This window comes from Homo sapiens, chromosome 1 (assembly GCF_000001405.40).
Source record: "Homo sapiens chromosome 1, GRCh38.p14 Primary Assembly".
Taxonomy (NCBI): Eukaryota; Metazoa; Chordata; class Mammalia; order Primates; family Hominidae; genus Homo; species Homo sapiens.
Genome location: NC_000001.11, coordinates 184,105,251 through 184,124,600, shown reverse-complemented (window position 1 = coordinate 184,124,600; position 19,350 = coordinate 184,105,251). Strand labels below are relative to the sequence as shown.

Genomic DNA, 19,350 nt, shown 5'->3' with positions numbered 1-19,350 from the left:
ATTACTATTACCCATATGCAGACCTTTTTGACATTTTCAACAATATCTTTATACCACAGAGCAGAGAATAAGCAAAAAAACACAATGAGTAATACATGCCATCTTGGCTCCCCATGGGGCATCATGGGGAACCTGCTATTGGCACATCCGGCCTGCACGTGTGTCATTTTTATTACCCTTTGTGAGTGTGCTTGCATGGGGGAATCTGGGCATTGGGTAGAAAAGATGTATTGCAGCTGATGGGGGCTGGGTGGGTCTATTTGTCTTGAGAAGGCTGAATAAACTGTGTGTTGCATGCCTGCATTTTGACTGACTGCAACTCATCATGTGAATGAGGTTATGTGTGAAATTTTCCACTTGTGGTGTGCATATGTAAGGAGGTCAGGCATCTTTTCTTTCCTCATTTGTGGTGTCATGTCATGCTTGAAAATTTTCAAATTTGACCATTTTGGATTTGGGGGTTAGGAATGCGCAACTTATGCTGTTTGATTCCATTGATATAAAATGTCCAGAAAAGGCCAATCTATAGATATGGAAAACAGATCAGTGGTTGCCTGGGGTTGAAAGTAGAAGCAGAATTGATTGCAAATGGGCACAAAGAAACATTTCAGGCTGACAGAAATGTTCTAAGTCTGGATTGTAATGATAAGACCATACAACTCTATACATTTATTAAAAATCATTGAATTATACACTCAAAATAGGTGAACCTTATGGTACATAAATTATACTTCAATACAGATTTTTTTTTGAGGGTATGTGGCTTGGACCATACGTCTCAGAGGAGAGGTGGTAAGTAGTAATAACAGATGGCGGAAGACATTACAATAACAGGCACCAAATAAATGGGGTGATCAGGGTCTTGATCTGGGGTCATTACACAGGTCAATAGATCCATTATACTTGTGCTTCATTTTTTCCTCCATGGACTGTTCTTTTAATAAATTCTTATATTCTTGACCCTTTAGTATATGAATCCCAGGAGGGCAGAGACATTTGCCCATTTTTTTTTCACAGCTGTTCACCCAGGGCCTGTCATTTAGTAGGCCATCAATAAATATTTTTTGAATGAATAAAGGGCTGAAGAGCTGACAACCAGGGGATAGAAAAGTAGCTATGAGTAGAGCTCAAGCCAGGTAGCTCTTCCAAGGCTCTGAGAGTGTAGCCTTAGAGGCCCTTTAACCTGAATCACTTCCGAGGCTCAGGATGCTGTGCTCCTCCACACCAGGCCTACTCCACTTTTTCATCCCATTAGTAAAACTTCACCATATCTCAGGCCCATGTGTTTCAGTTGGAGACCAGGCAATATTTCACCCCATCCTTCCCTATCTTAACTTCTTTTTACAGCTCAATGTTAAAACAAGTTAATCGAAAACACCTCCTCAAACTCACACCATTCACTCAGCTCTTGCTATCCTGATTGCCATATTTTTCACTTTATCTTTGGAATTTTGCTCCATTATTTTGCATTTCTGACAGACAGAACAGAATGTCTCTGACTTGCCACCTTGAGAACCTCCTTCTAAGAACCCAGCAACCAAAAGCATAACACAATTGGTTTTTAAAGAATTGAGGTCTGGCCAGGCGCGGTGGCTCACGCCTGTAATCCCAGCATTTTGGGAGGCCGAGGCAGGTGCATCACGAGGTCAGGAGATCGAGACCATCCTGGCTAACATGGTGAAACCCCATCTCTACTAGAAACACCAAAAATTAGCTGGGCGTGGTGGTGGGTGCCTGTAGTCCCAGCTACTCAGGAGGCTGAGGCAGGAGAATGGCGTGAACCCGGGAGGCGGAGCTTGCAGTGAACCGAGATCGCGCCACTGCACTCCAGCCTGGGCAACAGAGCAAGGCTCTGCCTCAAAAAAAAAAAAAAAAAAAAAAAAAGAATTGAGGTCTTACTCTGTCACCCAGGCTGGAGTGCAATGGCACGATCACAGCTTACCACAACCTCAAATTCTTGGGTTCAAGCGATCCTCCTGCCTTATCCTCCTGAGTAACTGGGACTACAGGCACTTGTCACCTGCCTGGCTAATTAATTTTTTTTTTTTTTTTTTTTTTTAGAGACAGGGTATTGCTATGTTAGACCAGGCTGGTCTACAACTCCTGGCATCAAGGGATCCTCCTTTTGGGTCCTCAGCCACCCCAAGCTCTGAGATTACAGGTGTGAGCCACTGTGCCCGGCCTAAAAATGTTTTTTAAACATTTTGAAAACACCCACCATGCTTTAGTGAGAGAACACTTTTCTTCTACCTCCTGTTGCATTACTAGTCCATTAAATTTCTTCACCCCACTCCTGAAGATGCATTGTCTACAGCTGCACCTGGCCCGACAGTCCACTATGAAGGCTCTGATTTAGATCCTGCTGGAGGACCACCTATATTGTTGTCTTACCAGTGGTCTCCCAGGCTGTAAAAATCTCTGGAGACTTGTTTATCATTAAATTTTAAAAGGCAAGAAAATGAAAATCAGAACAACCCTAATGTAAAATTCCTACATGTCTGTCCCTTTAGCAGCATCTAACTTTTTATCTTTTCATGTATTTCATATACTCTCACACCTACACACACACACACACACACACACACACACACACACACACATTCCTTTTCATTTTCCTTGCTTGCTTGTTTATGTTTGGTTTCCAACCCTAAGTATTGGAGCTGAATTCTGCATTCCATCTATTAGTGTCATCACAGAAGACATCACATCTTCCTGAGTTCATTTATCATTCCTCCTCCTCTCTCGACATCCTTTTAAATATGCAAAGTCTCATCACAGTATCGCGGTCCCAGCAGCAGTCGTAGCTGCACTTGTCTGCAAAGGAAATAAGGGAAAGATTGCAAGAATATGATGTGAATACATAGTCTACCTTGGAATCATGACTCATTCATTTTTCATGTATCCAGAAAATTTTTACTAAATTTCTAATGTGTGAAGGTCACTGTGGAGGTTGTTCAAGCAATGCTAAGACATAAAACACAGTCTTTACCTTTAAGAAATTGCCACCAAGTAGTGGAGATAAAACATATGGAAGAAGAGGGTAGGGGATGACAACTGCTAAGCATTAGAGTGGGGGCTTTAAAGGAGAGCAGGCATCTGGCCAGAGGAGTTGGCATAGAGACAGTGGCTTGGTGGTGGCATTTGAACTGGGTCTTAGAAGATGAGTATGGCTTGAAAGATAGAGAAAGGGAGGCAGAAGAGAAGGAATTCTAGGGCAAGGGAGCAGCATGAACAAAACCACGGAAATGAAGAGCTTAAACTGTATTTGTGGATGAGACCAACAGCAGGGGCTCCTCCTTCATCAGATGTACCCAGAAAGTAGAGCAACAACACAGATGTCCAAGTCTCACCCAGAGATTCTGCTGGAGCGCTCTTCCTACTTCTCTCTGGAGGACCAGCTCCTTCTCACAACTTCAACTGTGAGATTATGTGTCAGCTTCTCACAAAGGCCCTTCTCTGACCACCACATCTACAGTAGGGCTCCTTCCTGCCAATGTCCTCTCTGTCAGCCTCCTTCTTTCCCATCATAGTGTGTCATAGTTTATAATCATTTTGTTGATGTTTGTCTGCTTGTCTGACTCCAATGGTAGCATCAAAAGTCTCTGATAACAGAGACCAGGACTGATTGTTTAGTGCCTGAAAAATAGTAAGAGTGCAATTAATATTTGTTGATTGAATGAGTGAGTAATTGAGTTATTAACGAACAAATGAAAGTTAAACATTTTTTGAGACAGGGTTGATGATTTTATTTATTTATTTTACATTTAATGAGTGCATACCTTATTACTTGTCTTTAAATCTTTCACCAAAGTTCATTTATTAAATCTATATTTTCTATTTCGGGGAAAGTCACATGACTTTCATGGGACTTGACACTTTTGCTTTCATAGGTATCTTTGTCCAAAAAATATTAAAATTATGTTTTACAACTGTGTTAATATAATTATGCATACAATACAATTTGGATTGTGTTCTTTTTTCTTTTGATTGAAAAAGAAATTAAAAGATCCTGGACCTCTAAAAGCATTGTGGGACCTAGGTGCTGTACTTCCTGTATCTAATAGGTAAATCAGCCCTGTGAGTAGTAAAATTGTTTTTAAAGACTTAATAGAAAACAAGGCTAGACAAATAGTATGGGAAAAGATTATAGAAGGACTTGTACACCAGATTTTGAGTTTAGTAAATTTCAACTTTATTTAGGAGGCAATAAAAATCACAGAGAGTTTAAGCTAAAGAATTATATTTCAATATGGCAGAGCCATTGTAGGAAGAAGAAGCTGCAGGACAAACGGAGAAGATGCTGGTCAGGAAAGCTCCAGAATGTGGTTCAGACCCCATGAGATGAAAAGGATTGAACTATGGGTGATAGTGATGCTCTTCTTGCTGGAAGAGCAAAAGCTAACCTGAGAAAACATGTGAATTTATCTTACAACCAACTCTCTAGGGAGGGTGGATTCAAAGATGGCTGTGTTTCTGAACCAGAACTGGGAGAACAGTGTGATCAGGAACAGAAGTAGTGTCATCCAGAGAAGAGAGACTTGGTGGGGAGTATGATGGGATTGATTTGGGATATGTTTTGGGGAAGGGATACTAGCTGAACAACCCAATGGAACATCTTAGCAGGTAGGCACTTAGAAACATAAATCTGGAATTCTAGACCTCCAAAATTTTAAACAATGTTCAGACAACTTCAAGGTTCTTTAAATCATAGTACATGAATAATAAATCAGCAAAGAATATTTCTAACTAACCATCCAAATATTACCTCCTCTTTGTGCTGGCTGATTTGTCCCAGTAATTATCCCCAGTTAAGGGGTCCCCCAAGTCTCCTGCCTCTTCATTCTTCTTAGCCAAGGAAAAGAGAGATTCAAATAAATTCTTCTGTAATAGAAAGTAAATGTTAGGTTCGATTAGTTCACTCTTATTCTCAATGGGCTCTAATTAAATGAGCTAACTGGTCATAGATGGTTAACTGGTCATAGATGGTTAGCATTATATCTTTAATTAGTAGAGGCTTAAAATCTCTTTTTTTCTGTAAACCTGATTAGCAAGCTGGAGGCTTGCAGCATTTCAACAGGTCCCAGCCAAAAACAAGGTTGAGGTAAGGGCAATTTCAGCATTCAGAGGGCAAGGAATAATTGGAGTTAATGTCTTCCAGTCTCAATGTTGGTACCCTGTGAGATAGATGCTACAGTGGGCAATTTCTCCTAAGCTCCATCCCTACCCTAAGCTACCAGGCTGCTGTGAATTTTTCATATTAGAATCAGGCTATATTAAAACACTAGAGTGATGGCAGTATATGCTGTTCCTCTAGGTGGAATTTGAGCAATCTATCCCTTCCTTACAAAATTCTTCTGACACATTCAAACTTTCACATTTTACCAGGAAACCAGGACACGAGTGTCTTCTATTTGTAAAATGGAGGAAATATTAGTGGTTAGCTCATGGGATGGCATGATAATTAGTTAATTTCTGTACAGCACTTTGAAGAGTGCCCAGTTCATAGTAAATACTCAATACATGTTAACTTTTTGGTTTTTATTATGGTCACTCTCATCCAGAGTCCTTCCTGTATCTACTACATTTTATTTCCTGAAAATGGAAATTGTACATTATCCGCATCAAAATCACTTAAAGGGCTTGTTGAATGTAGATTATTGGCCCCCACCCCAAACCAGTGGAATAGTGAACTCTGGGAATGAAGACCAGAAATCTGAATTTGAACAATTGTTTTTTAAATAATTTCAACTTTTACTTAGATTCAGGGGTACACGTGTAGGTTTATTACATGAGTATACTGCATGATGCTGAGGTTTGGGATATGAATAATCCCATCACCCAGATAGTGAGCGTAGTACCCAACAGTTGGATTTTAGTTTCTCTGGAGTTTGAGACCACCAGTCTACTGGGTTTACATAAAGTACGGATGAAATTTCTGCCTTGGCCTTCATGTCCTGCTACTGCACCAGTTATGCAATGTATTCCAACATCCAGAACCCCAAGCCCTGAGATGTGCTGATTGCCCAAAGCATGGTGGAGCCTTGGTTGGGCTAATGTCAATAAAATCACTCTGAAGACCACCTGACTCCTGTTCCACCCCTCAGTCTTGTTCTAGAACCTACATCATGATCTGTTATGGTCAATTCCCAGCCTGCAGTCATTGGAGGGAGCCTGCCACAGTGATCAGTTTTCCTAGAAGGAGCTTTGTTTAGAGAGCCTGCTGATGCTTTGAATGTATCTGTCACCACGTCAGTCACATCACATCCACAACACACATGATTCCTGCTGCCTTCTGACTGTGAAGTATCTGATTCCCTGGCACATCAGCATATCAGATGACTCATTGAAACGCAACTCCACTGCATGAGACATTTGAATTTAGCCCATTGGAGTAGCCTCACCCCAGAGCAGCTGTTGCATGTCTCATATTTTAAGTACAAGAATCCTGCCACATCATCATCATAGCAACCACAATACAAAGTAATGAATCCTTAGATATCTATAGGACTTTCTGGCTGGTTGTCAAAGAACTTCCACACTTATCTAGCATTACCCACATTGGGAGTTAAAAAATACAAGCGTCTCTTCTGTTTTATAGAAAATGGAACATCAGGAAGTTTATGTGGGCTGGGCGCAGTGGCTCACGCCTGTAATCCCAGCACTTGGGGATGCTGAGGCAGGTGGATCACCTGAGGTCAGGAGTTCAAGACCAGCCTGGCCAACATGGTGAAACCCCGTCTCTACTAAAAATACAAAAATTAGCCGGGTGCGGTTGTGCATGCCTGTAATCCCAGCTACTCAGGAGGCTGAGGCAGGAGAATTCCTTGAATTCAGGAGATGGAGGTTGCAGTGAGCTGAGATTGCGTCACTGTACTCCAGCTGGGCGACAGAGCAAGACCCTGTCTCAAAATAATAATAATCATAATGTGACTTAATTCAATTTACATAACAGATTCAAAGCTAACATGGCATGTGCTTCGCAATGCAATGCTGAGATCCCTTGGTGTGGGTTTTTCCTGCCACCCCACTGCTTCCAACCACTGTATTACCAGGGTAGAGAGAGATTAGGAGCACCGGCTTTGGGTCTACTGTTTGAATCTTGAGTCCATCACTCACCAGCTTTGTGATTTTGAGAAAACCCATTTCATGGGAGGGAGGTAATGATGCAATATAAAGCACTGTGCCTAGCATACAGTTAACACTCCATGGTTTTTATGTGTTACTATCATTGCTGTTATTAACTACAGATATCACTGCCATCAGTGATGATGTTTCTGACCAAAATGACTAAGATTCTAGCAGGAGCCTGCCTCCTCTCCTACATACCCTTTGTGGGTAAGAGGACAAAATGGTTATTATGTTCCGTACTTGTCTTTCTTTGCTTTGATAAAATAGAGGAATCCTTTGGAACTTATTTTCCAATTGCCAAGAACATTAAACTAAATTACTACTGTATGATATTATGTTTGACAAAAGTAATAGAATTTTTTCCCCCAGAAAACCGAATTTAAACTTTATCCTTGTCCCAACTCAAATGAGTTCAGTTACTCTGTTTTGTTCCATTAACTTTTTGACCAGTGTTAAACATGCTAAATGCTTAAGAGATACACTGGGTCAAATGAGTGGGTGCACTATGATTAGGCAAAGAAGGGATGTTATATGAGTTTCCCTGATACCTGCTTGGCTTGATGAGCTGGTCCCCTACTAATTTCTCAATAATATGTAGAAATTAAGAATGAATATACTACATAAAGGAATAAACAAAAATGATGGCACCTAGGGAACCATTTGCCTTAGATGATATAATCATAACTTTAATTTAATTACAGTCCAGAGGCTTATGAACAATAATTTACATTATTGCCACTACCTTACATATTCTTTGTTCTACATAGAACAACACTTACCAGGAACTTAATAGGCCCTTGGGGAAGGTGGCAAAGGCAGAGAGCTCCCTGTTAGGTTAAGGGCCATGGAGGTTCTCAGTGCAGAACAAACCACTCACAGAGGCCACATCCTGGAGGATACAGTGCAGTAACACAATAACCTGCATTCTCTGAACTCCTAATGAGGGTCATCCTCTTCCTGCCTGTCACTACTCCTCCCCAGCCAACTCCGCAGCAGCAGCTGGTGCCATGGGAATTTCTCACATCCAGACAAGACAAACAAAGCACCACACCACAGACGCTGTGTGCTACAGAGAAGCTGTGACATGCAGAGAAGCAACCCATGAGGGGATGCAACCTAAAAAAATAGCTCATAAGAAACAACACTGTTCCAAAAGATATTCTCAGCAGAACTATTTTTCAGAAAAACAGTGTACAGAGCTAAAAACCACAGGAGTGTGTAGAAGGGCCAGAAATAACATGATGGAAACCATGATGGAATACTACACAGCTATTAAAAATAACAAAATTATGAAAAACAAACATGTGGAAATATTCATGCAAAATAGTATAAAGTGGAAAGTCACAACAATCAATGTTAAAATTAATTTATATGTCTGCATCAAATTGTCAAACAAAAGGCTATAAAAATCATGCAACCTGGCCAAGCGTGGTGGCTCACGCCTGTAATCCCAGCACTTTGGGAGGCTGAGGCAGGCGGATCACGAGGTCAGGAGATCGAGACCATCCTGGCTAACATGGTGAAACCCCGTCTCTACTAAAAATACAAAAATAAGCCGGGCATGATGGCGGGTGCCTGTAGTCCCAGCTACTCAGGAGGCTGAGGCAGGAGAATGACATGAACCCGGGAGGCAGAGCTTGCAGTGATCTGAGATCACACCACTGCACTCCAGCCTGGGTGACAGAGCGAGACTCCGTCTCAGAAAAAAAAAAAATCATGCAACCTGAGAGATTACAATGTTTATGAATTTATTCTAGCTCAACTTAAACAGACCACACAACCATATTATTCCATTACATTGTCAATGAATAAGGTCATTCTCTCAGTCTGGCAACTTCTATTTCATACTTCCTTCACCAGCCTCAAACTTTTCAGCCTTCTCATAGACAACCCTAAGAGTTGTCTGTGACCTTCCCTCTGTCTGCTCATATTGGCAACATAATCCCTCTTCTTTCCTGTGTTCCAGCCACACTGACCTTTTGGATATTTCATTTGCTGAGTGCTGTCCTATCTGAAGGAATTCCCCTATGCACTCCCCTTGTCCCACATCAGTCAAGTCAACTAAAGTTTCATGTTTATATGCCTCCAGTGTTATCATCACTCCTGGGAGCCTGTACTTTTTTCTTCATAGCACTCAGCACACTTTCTCATTATAAATTTGTTTGCATGATTATTGCTTTACTATGTCCTTCTCTCCCAAATAGACAGTAAGCTCTGTTAGGAAGGTGATGATTACTTTTATCTGCCAACTTGATTGGGCCAAGTGGTGCCCAAATATTTGGTGAAACTTACTCTGGGTGTTTCTGTGAGGGTGTTTTAGATGAGATTAACATTCAGATTGGCAGACTGAGTAAAGTAGAGTGCACTCCCTAATGTGACAGTCCTCATCTAACCAAGTGCAGGCCTGCATAGAACAAAAGGCTGACTCCCCCAGGTAAGAGAGAATTCTTCCTGCCTGACTGCCTTTGAACTGGGTCACTGGCTTTTATTCTTGCCTTCAGACTCAAACTGAAACATTGGCACTTCCTGGATCTTGAGCTTGCTGGCCTTCAGCTACACCATCAATCCTGGTTTTTAGATCACCAAGCTCAGACTAGAACTAAACCATCAGTTCTCCTGGGTCTCCAACTTGTTGACTCATCCCACATATCTCAGGATTTTCCCACCTTCATAATCACATGAGCTAATTACTTGTAATAAATCTCTTTTTGAGATATATATTTCCCTTTAGTTTTTTTTTCTGGAGAACCCTAATTAACCCAAGGAATAATATATTTGCTGTTCACAATCATGTATCTACCTAGCACCAATACAGTGCCTGCCCCAGACTGGTTGTCTAATACAACTTTACTGAATGAATGGATGGATGGATGGATGAATGGATAGATGGATGAAAGTGATATTAATATAATTTAATATTTATTAAGTTTTATTTTTTTCTACAAAAAAATCCTTGTAGTGTATGTAGACTACTGAATAATACCTGTACTTACTTGATTGGTGCTTTCTATTTTTCAAAGCATTTTCATATACAATAAATTTTTTTGATTCTTGGACCTCTATGAGGTAGATAATATTCCACATTCACATTTGAAGAAATAGGGGTCTAGATAAATAAAGTAATTCGCCCAAGCTCATACAGTGAACTAAGTGGTAGAGCAAGGTCTGGTATCTAGACCTGCTAGATTTGGGCCAAGGACTTGGATCCTTCTATCTCTGCAGTTATTTGTATGCCACTATGTTCACTGGAAGGTGCATTGCTGAGCATGGGAGGGCTGAAAGGCACAGAGGCATTATCCTAATGGGTCTTTGTGATATTCAGGAATGATGGGAGGAGATGATGCTCCAGCCTGGGGAGAGGGTCCTGGCCCTGACCAGGTCAGGTTGCAACAGTGAGGTCATGAGCTGTGGGCAGTAAGCCTCAGACATGGCTCTCAGGTCACTCACATGCAACCCATAGGTGTTCAATGCCTCATTTTCAGTGTTACTCTGGTGATCATACAATAGTCAGATCAAACTATCAGCTAAGGATTATTGAACCAGTGGCTCCAAAGACACCAAACTCAGATGCAACACGGCAGAATGGCTAGAGCATGGGCTCATAGTCCAAGACCCTGGGTTGAGACCCAAGGGTGTGGCTAGAAAAGGCAAATGACATTGAGAAGTCAAGGAGACCCAACATTTATATTCCAGCACTGTCTCTCCCTCTGGCAAAGCCATGACCTCGTTTATCACCTTGTTTGTCCTATCTGAATATTTACAAAAATACCAGCTCAAACAGCAGAGGTGTGGTGGGAGTAAAATGAAGAGTAAACAAATGAAGGTCTGATTCTCAATTTGGATGCAGAAAACCCTTTCCAGTGCCATATGCTTTTAGTGCTCTCTTTTTATCACTGCAATTTCACAACCTGTTAAAGCCTTCATCTTCTTTTCAGCCCCTGTCTACAGCAGCTTTCCATAAAGAGCTTGATGACAGCTGTGTCTGTTGAGAAAACCACAGCCTCATATTCCTCTCCTCAGAAGTATCCTAGGACTGTGATACATACCACCACTTAATAAGGTGGGGGTTGTCAGGCCAGCAGTGTGGGGGATGGTTATTCCTTCTCTGACAGCATTCGAAGAGCTCCAGCAGCTGCCTCCAGGTGAATGGCAGGTGGTACTGGAGGTTGATTGCATAGGCCCAATGCTAAGATTTACCCCAGACAATGAAGACTAAGAAAAAGTCAGGACTTGAAGCTCATTGCCTCTCTTAGGCTTTCTGTATTATCCAATTACTAAATTTCTCTATTATATTAATTATACATAATTATATATTATATTAATACTTCTATATTATTAAAATAATAACATAGTTAATTATTTGAGAGGCACACTATACAACGATTAGAAAAAATCCAAAAATGAAAATAGCTACTATTTTTAGCACCTTATCTATGTTACATTTTTCATTTCTATCAATAACTCATTTTACTAATAAGAAAAATGAAATTCAAGATGCTAAGAGACACTTACCCAGTAGGGAGTGGAGTTGGAGGTCAGGAGGTTAAGAGTCTTTTGCCAACTGGCCTTAGGTAAGTCTCTTTACCTCTCCAGGCTTCAGTTTTCTTTCTGGAGAAAGGAAGTGAGTGAGTTTCACTTGCAGATGGAATAGGTCCCTTCTTGCACCAGGTGTCTTCAGGATGAATTTTATTGCTTTTACTCATCAATGATTATTTTAGTTCTTGTTTTGAGGTTTTGTTTGTTTTTGTTTTTCTTAATCCACATAACTTCTGCATTATTCAACTCTCAACTTGTCACCTTTCAGAGAGGATTTCCTTGACCAATCCTGCTAAAATAGCTTGTCCACTCTCCTCCACTCATTATATCACTTGTTTTCATTCTCTTCATAGAACTTTCTTTTCTCTCTTTCTTTCTTCCTTCCTTCCCTTCCTTCCCTTTCTTCCCTTCCCTCCCTTTCTTCCCTTCCTTCCTTTCCTCCCTCCCTCCCTCCCTCCCCTCCCCTCCCCTCCTTCCTTCCTTCCTTCCTTCCTTCCTTCCTTCCTTCCTTCCCTCCTTCCCCCAGAAGAATGTCAGCTCTAGAGGGAAATTACATCACCTGCTCTGCTCATGCTTAAACACTGGTGTTGGGTCTCCTTTACCAAGCACCTCACAAAGTCTAAACACCCTGGCGTGTCACACCCTATTGCCACACACGTTTTCACTGCAGAACAAAGTAAACAATCAATAAATATTTATTGATTAAATTAATGAATAAATCCAGTTTGTTACAAGTTTGTTTGATTCTGCCACAAAAATCTCTAGAACTGTGCTGTTCAATGTGGTAGCCAATAGTCACATGTGGCTATTTAAATTTAAAGTAATTAGGCCGGGCACTGTGGCTCACGCTTATAATCCCAGCACTTTGGGAGGCCAAGGCAGGTGAATCACGAGGTCCTGGCCAACACGGTGAAACCCCGTCTCTACTAAAAATACAAAAAATTAGCCGGGCGCAGTGGCGGGCGCCTGTAGTCCCGGCTACTCGGGAGGCTGAGGCAGGAGAATGGCGTGAACCCGGGAGGCGGAGCTTGCAGTGAGCCGAGATCGCGCCACTGCACTCCAGCCTGGGCGACAGAGCGAGACTCCGTCTCAAAAAAAAAAAAAAAAAAAAAAAAAAAGAAAAAAAATTTAAAGTAATTAAAAGTTCAGTCCCTCAGCCTTACCAGCTACATTTCAAGTGCTCAAGAGCCATGTGTGGCTAGTGGTTTGCATAACGGACAGTGCAGAATAGAACATTTCCATCATGTGGAAAGTTCTGTTGGAGAGTGCTGGTCTACATTCTGGTTCTTCCTCTCCAATCCCACCGTGATCGCTCACCTAGATTCTTGTGAGAGCCTCTGAACTGACAGTAGTTTCCTTCCACGCTAGTCCATTCTCCACATTGCCTTATTTGTTTAGTTCATTTATTCATGCAGCAAGTATTTAAGGAGGACCTTCTATATGCCAGCATGGTGCTAGGCACAGAGGAAGGAACAGAGTATGAGTTAGACCTAGTCCTGACACAATGTACTCACAGTCCACAGACGATGTGTGTAGCACTCCCATGTTTAAAAACCAGTACTGGATCCCCCTTACCAACGTCCCTTACAGTGTTCCCAGGACCCTGGGCTGTGCTCTGTGGGATGCAGCCCAGAGTCAACTCTGCTTTCTCAGGAGGGGGTCAGCCAAAACAACTGTTTCTGTATGTGGGGTGGGGGGTGTATGGGGGGTGTGTGTGTGTGTGATGAGGTGAGGTGTGTGTGAGGGGAGATTGTGTGTGGTCAGGTGTGAGGTGTGGGGTACGTGGTGGATTGTTCGGGGTGTGGTGGTAGGGTGTGTCTCTGTGTGTGTGTATGTGGTGGGGTGTGTGACGGGGTGTGTGTGTATGGCAGGATTTGAGGGGTGTGTGGTGGGATGTGTGGAGGGGTATGTGGTGGTATGTGTGGGGTGTGTGGGGGGTGGGGTATGTGTGGTGGGGAGAGAGTGTGTGTGAGGTAGATGTAGAATATATGTGGTGAGGTATATGTGGGAGGTGTGTGGGGGGTATGTGGTGTATGTGGTAGGGTGTGTGTGTGCAGTGGTGTGGGGAGTGTGGTGGTGTGAAGGGGTGTGCTGGTGTGTGGGGTTGTGTCGGGGGTGGGGTATGGAGTAGGGTGCGTGAGATGTGTGTATGTGGTGGAGGGTATGTGTTTGGTGGCGGGATGTGTAAGTGGTGGGGTGTGAAATGGGGTGTGTGTATCTCTGTGTGTGGTGGGTTGTGGGGTGGAATGGGGGGGTGCATGGTATGTGTGTGTGGTGGGGTGTGTGGTGTCTGTGTGTGTGTGTGTGTGTGTATCTGTGTTGGCAGTAGGGCTGCCACCCATGGGTTGAGGTTGTGCCTTCTGGCACTTGAGTTTGGATGCATGGAGGGCGATGGCCTGGTGCCCTACAGTTTCAGTTTCACTCTTCCCCATCACCTCTCCCACGGTTCTGTACCCGGTCCTCCACCCACCACCTCACCACCTTCCCTGTTCTCTGCATACCCAGTCACACTTCAGTGCTTTTGCACAGGCCTGTCCCCTAGTGGGCTTTCCTTTCTCAACGGCTTAACCTGATGAATGCACTTATCCTTCAAAACTCACTTCAAATATCACTTTCTGTGAATCTTTTCCAGCAACCCAGAGGGGCGACCTTTTCTCTGTATGTCCACAGAAATCTGTTATTAGATCTAGTAGAACACCTGTCAGGTTTACCCTAAACCCCATTTATGTAGGCCTCCCTCCAGTAGAGTGTAGTTCCTCCAAGTGAAGAATTCATTTATCATCATAGCCCCAGTGCATGAAATAGAAGAGGTCCCTAATAAATGATTTTGGATGAATGATAAATGGACAGCAAATGGATGAACAAATGAGTGTAAATATTATGAAAGTGCCTGGCCCATTTGCAGTTCCCTCGGGAGGCTGCATTGGTTCTAGAACTTCAAAATAGAATAAAAACACCATAACGCTCTACTTGCTCTTATCAAAGATAAAATGTTATTTTTCTTCTTACCTTTTTTTTTTTTTTTGAGACGGAGTTTTGCTTTTGTTGCCCAGGCTGGAGTGCAATGGCACGATCTCAGCTCACTGCAATCTCCGCCTCCCGGGTTCAAGTGCTTCTCCTGCCTGAGCCTCCCGAGTAGCTGAGATTACAGGCATGCGCCACCACATCCGGCTAATTTTGTATTTTTAGTACAGATGGAGTTTCTCCATGTTGGTCAGGCTGGTCTCAAACTCCCGACCTCAGGTGATCTGCCAGCCTCGGCCTCCCAAAGTGCTGGGATTATAGGCGTGAGCCACTGCGCCTGGCCTCTTCTTACCATCCTTATTTCCTACTGCAAATGTCCCTTCTACTCTGTTTTCTCACCAAGAAAACATATTTTCTTTTTTGCTTATACAAGCTTTCCTTTATGGCCAGCCAAAACTCTAGGATCAAATACTTCACTTCCAAATGCCATATGTCCCAAGACGCTCTTTCTTCTAATTGATGAAATGACTCTTTCCTACCAGAATGCTTACCAGCCCCTCCGAACTTGGACATTAGGAATCCAATAAAAACTATTTTATACAAACTAGAAATTATTGTCCTTACAATTATTATATTACTATGTGAGTGTTTGATAAACCAATCTGAAGCAGGTTTAATATTTCTTAATTTTTCCCAATCCTTTAAAAACACAATCAAACCAAAGGGAAATCTCAAGAAATAAACAGAGTTTCCCTCCCAGGTGCCTTGGGTGTAATCCTCCATTCACCCAACCAATGTGTTATTTCTTTTTTCCTTTCTTTTTTTTTTTTTTTTTTTTTTTGAGATGGAGTTTCTCTTTTGTTGCCCAGGCTGGAGTGCAATGGCGCGATCTCGGCTCACTGCAACCTCCACCTCCCGGGGTTCGAGTGATTCTCCTGCCTCAGTCTCCCAAGTAGCTGGGATTACAGGCACTCACCACCACGCCTAGCTAATTTTTTTGTATTTTTAGTAGAGATGGGTTTTCACCATGTTGGCCAGACTGGTCTCGAACTCCTGACCAAAGGTGATCCACCCGCCTCGGCCTCCCAAAGTGCTGGGATTACAGATGTGAGCCACCATGCCTGGCCCCATTGTGTTGTTTCTATGGTTCTTCATAAGGAAAGAAGGGTTCCTGACACCCCTCAACAAGCCAGTTCAACAAGCCAATATTAATTAACACATCCAACTAGCTTATAAACTTTCTGGGGTTCAAATAGATTTTCTTGACGTTACAGGATATTTTAAGTGAGAAGATTCATCTGCTCCCTCATATCAACTCCTCCAAATGACCCTGCAGACACATCATCAGAGCAGGGAGCTGGACGTGTTTACAAAAGCATACAGCCTGCAGCCCCAACTTCTTCGTGCCCTCCCTAGCAGTTTGAGTTTCATGCCTTTCACTACATTTTGAAAAGGGTAAAGTGGGTTAGAATATATCCATAATCACCATTCCTTAGAATTGCTTTAGTTAAATTTGCTAGTATTAACAGAACAATATTTCATCATTACAAATTCCTAGTTGCTAAAATCTTTAGTCACTTAATCAGCAATACTGAAAGACTAAGCCACATCTACCCCTTGTTAAATTTAAAATTTTAAATATACAAAATTACAATCCTTGGATAGAGTGTGCATTGGGTATGTGTGTATGTCAGTCATCAGGGTTTCAGTAGATATTAAGCAGCCTCCAAGTGAGTCTTTGTAAAAAATAAAAGCTTGCCAGAGGCTCAAGACTTTTTCTACAGAAGAGATAATCTTCCCTGGATTCTCAAACTTATGCTGACTTGTGACCATGGAAAAACCTGATCTTAATGTAAAGGAAGTATTAAGAATTTCTCAGGAAAAGGTGTTGTGTAAGTATAATGGTTCTGCCCCATTATCTTGGCTTAATCCAGAAAACTGAAAGCTAAAGTGACACATTAACCTACCTCTAGTATATTTACAGGTTTAAGGAGGACACTGAACATTTGTTCTCCATCTTAGGGAAGATCAAAGAAGAAACAAAATGACTTAAGTTTTGACCCCAAAGAGCATGATCATACTTAAGACAAAACATCTTCGTTATAAAGGTAATTTATGCAGATTTCCTAAAGAAAGAATGGAACCTGACACCTATTTACTGAGTGACCGTTGTGTAGAAGGCTTGGGTTTTGGAGGACAGAAAGAAAAGTAAGATGCATATAGTCTATGCTCTCCAAGAGGTCCCAATCTAGTTGGAAAGATAAGACGTACTCACAAAGGATAGGTAATACAATAACTCCTTTGATGTGCTGTTGGATTTGGTTTGTAAGAATTTTGTTGAGGATTTTTGCATCAATGTTCATCAAGGATATCGGCCTGAAGGTTTCTTTTTTGTTGTATCTCTGCCAAGTTTTGGTATCCGGATGATGCTGGCCTCAGAATGAGTTAGGAAGGAGTCCCTGCTCCTCAATTTTTTGGAATAATTTCTGTAAGAATGGTACCAGCTCTTCTTTGTACATCTGGTAGAATTTGGCTGTGAAATCATCAGGTCCTGGGCTTTTGTTGTTGTTGGTAGGTTATTTATTACTGATTCAATTTCAGAGCTCATTATTGGTCTGTTCAGACAATCAATTTCTTCTTGGTTTAATCTTGGGAGGGTGTATGTGTCCAGGAATTTATTTACCTCTTCTAGCTTTTCTAGTTTATGTGCACAGAGGTGTTTGTAGTAGTTTCTGATGGTCATTTTTACTTCTGCGGGGTCAGCGGTAACATTGCCTTTGTCACCTTTAATTGTGTTTATTTGGATCTTCTCCTTTTTCTTCTTAATTAGTCTAGCTAGTGGCCTATTTATACTATTAATGTTTTTTCCAAAAAACAACTCATGGATTCATTGATCTTTTAAATGGCTTTTGGTGTCTCAATTTCCTTCAGTTCAGCTCCGATTTTGGTGATTTCTTGTCTTCTGCTAGCTCTGGGATTGATTTGTTCTTGCTTCTCTAGTTCTTTCAGTTGTGATTATTAGGTTGCTAATTTGAGATATTTCTAATCTTTTGATGTGGCATTTATTGCTATGAATTTCCCTCTTAACACTGCTTTAGGTGTGTCCTGGAGATACCGGTATGTTATATCTTTGTTCTCATTAATTTCAAAGAACTTGACTTCTGCCTTAGTTTCATTATTTATCCAAAAGTCATTCAGGAGCATGTTGCTTAATTTCCATGTCATTGCACATATTTGAGCGATTTCCTTCATCTTGACTTCTATTTTTATTGCACTGTGGTCTAAGAGTGCTTTTGGTATGGTTTCAGTTTTTTCTTTTTTGCATATGCTGAGGATTTTTTATGTCCAATTATGTGGTCAATTTTGGAGTATGTGCTATTTGGTGATTATAAGAATGTATATATTCTGTTGTTTTGGGGTGGAGAGTTCTGTAGAGGTCTATAAGATCCATTTGGTCCAATCCAGCAGCCCATCAAAAAAAAGCTAATCAAGTTGGCTTCATCCCAGGGATGTGAAGTTGGTTCGACATACACAAATCAATAAGTGTGATTCATCACATAAACAGTAGAACTAAAGACAAAACCACATGATTATCTCAACAGATGCCGAAAAGGTTTTTGATAAAATTCAACACCCTCTCGTGTTAAAAACTCTCTATAAGCTAGGTATTGAAGAAACATGCCTCAAAATAATAAGAGCCATCTATGACAAACCCACAATCAATATTATACTCAATAGGCAAAAGCTGGAAGCATTCACCCTTAAAAACTAGCACAAGAAAAGGATGCCATCTCTCACTGCTCCCATTTAACATGGTATTAGAAGTTCTGGCCAGAGCAATCAGGAAGGAGAAAGAAATAAAGGGTATCTAAATAAGAGGAGAGGAAGCCAAACTATCTCTGCAGATGACATGATTCTGTATCTAGAAACCCCACAGTCTCAGCCTAAAATCTCCTTCAGCTGACAAACAACTTCAGTAAAGTTTCAGGATACAAAGTCAGTGTACAAAAATCACTGGCATTTCTATACACCAACAATAGCCAAGACAAGAGCCAAATCAGAAAGGCAATCCCATTCACAATTGCCACAAAAAGAATAAAATACCTAGAAATACAGCTAACCAGGAAGGTAAAAGATCTCTACAATGAGAATTATAAAACATTGTTCCAAGAAATCAGAGAAGACACAAACAAATGGAATAATATCCCATGCTCATGGATGGGAAGAATCAATATCATTAAAATGGCCATACTGCCCGAAGCAATGTACAGATTCAATACTATTTCTATCAATCTGCCAATGACATTCTTCACAGAACTAGAAAAAACTATTTTAAAATTCATATGGAACCAAAAAAGAGCCCTAATACCCAAGGCAATCCTAAACAAAAAGAACAAAGCTGGAGGCATCACATTACCTGACTTCAAACTATTGCTATAGGACTGCAGTAACCAAAACAGCATGGTACTCATACAAAAACAGGAGCATAGACTAATGGAATAGAATAGTGAGGGCAGAAAAAAGGCTGCACACCTATGACCATCTGATCTTCAACAAAGCTGACAAGAGCAAGCAATGGAGAAAAGACTCCCTATTCAGTAAGTGGTGCTGGGATAACTAGCTAGCCATACGCACAAGACTGAAGCTGGACCTCTTCCTTACATCATATACAAAAATTAACTCAAGATGAAATAAATATTTAAATGTAAAACCCAAAACTAT

General features: G+C 41.4%; 1 long non-coding RNA gene across 1 annotated transcript; it reads right to left on the bottom strand.

Annotated features, from left to right (window-relative positions):
- Window positions 1-637: 637 nt before the first annotated feature.
- Window positions 638-12,157, bottom strand: LOC102724830 (uncharacterized). Its single transcript, XR_426875.4, has 4 exons — window positions 11,641-12,157; window positions 4,766-4,881; window positions 3,351-3,636; window positions 638-2,814 (listed from the first exon to the last, which is right to left on the bottom strand). It is a non-coding gene; the product is annotated as an uncharacterized LOC102724830 (long non-coding RNA).
- Window positions 12,158-19,350: the final 7,193 nt, after the last annotated feature.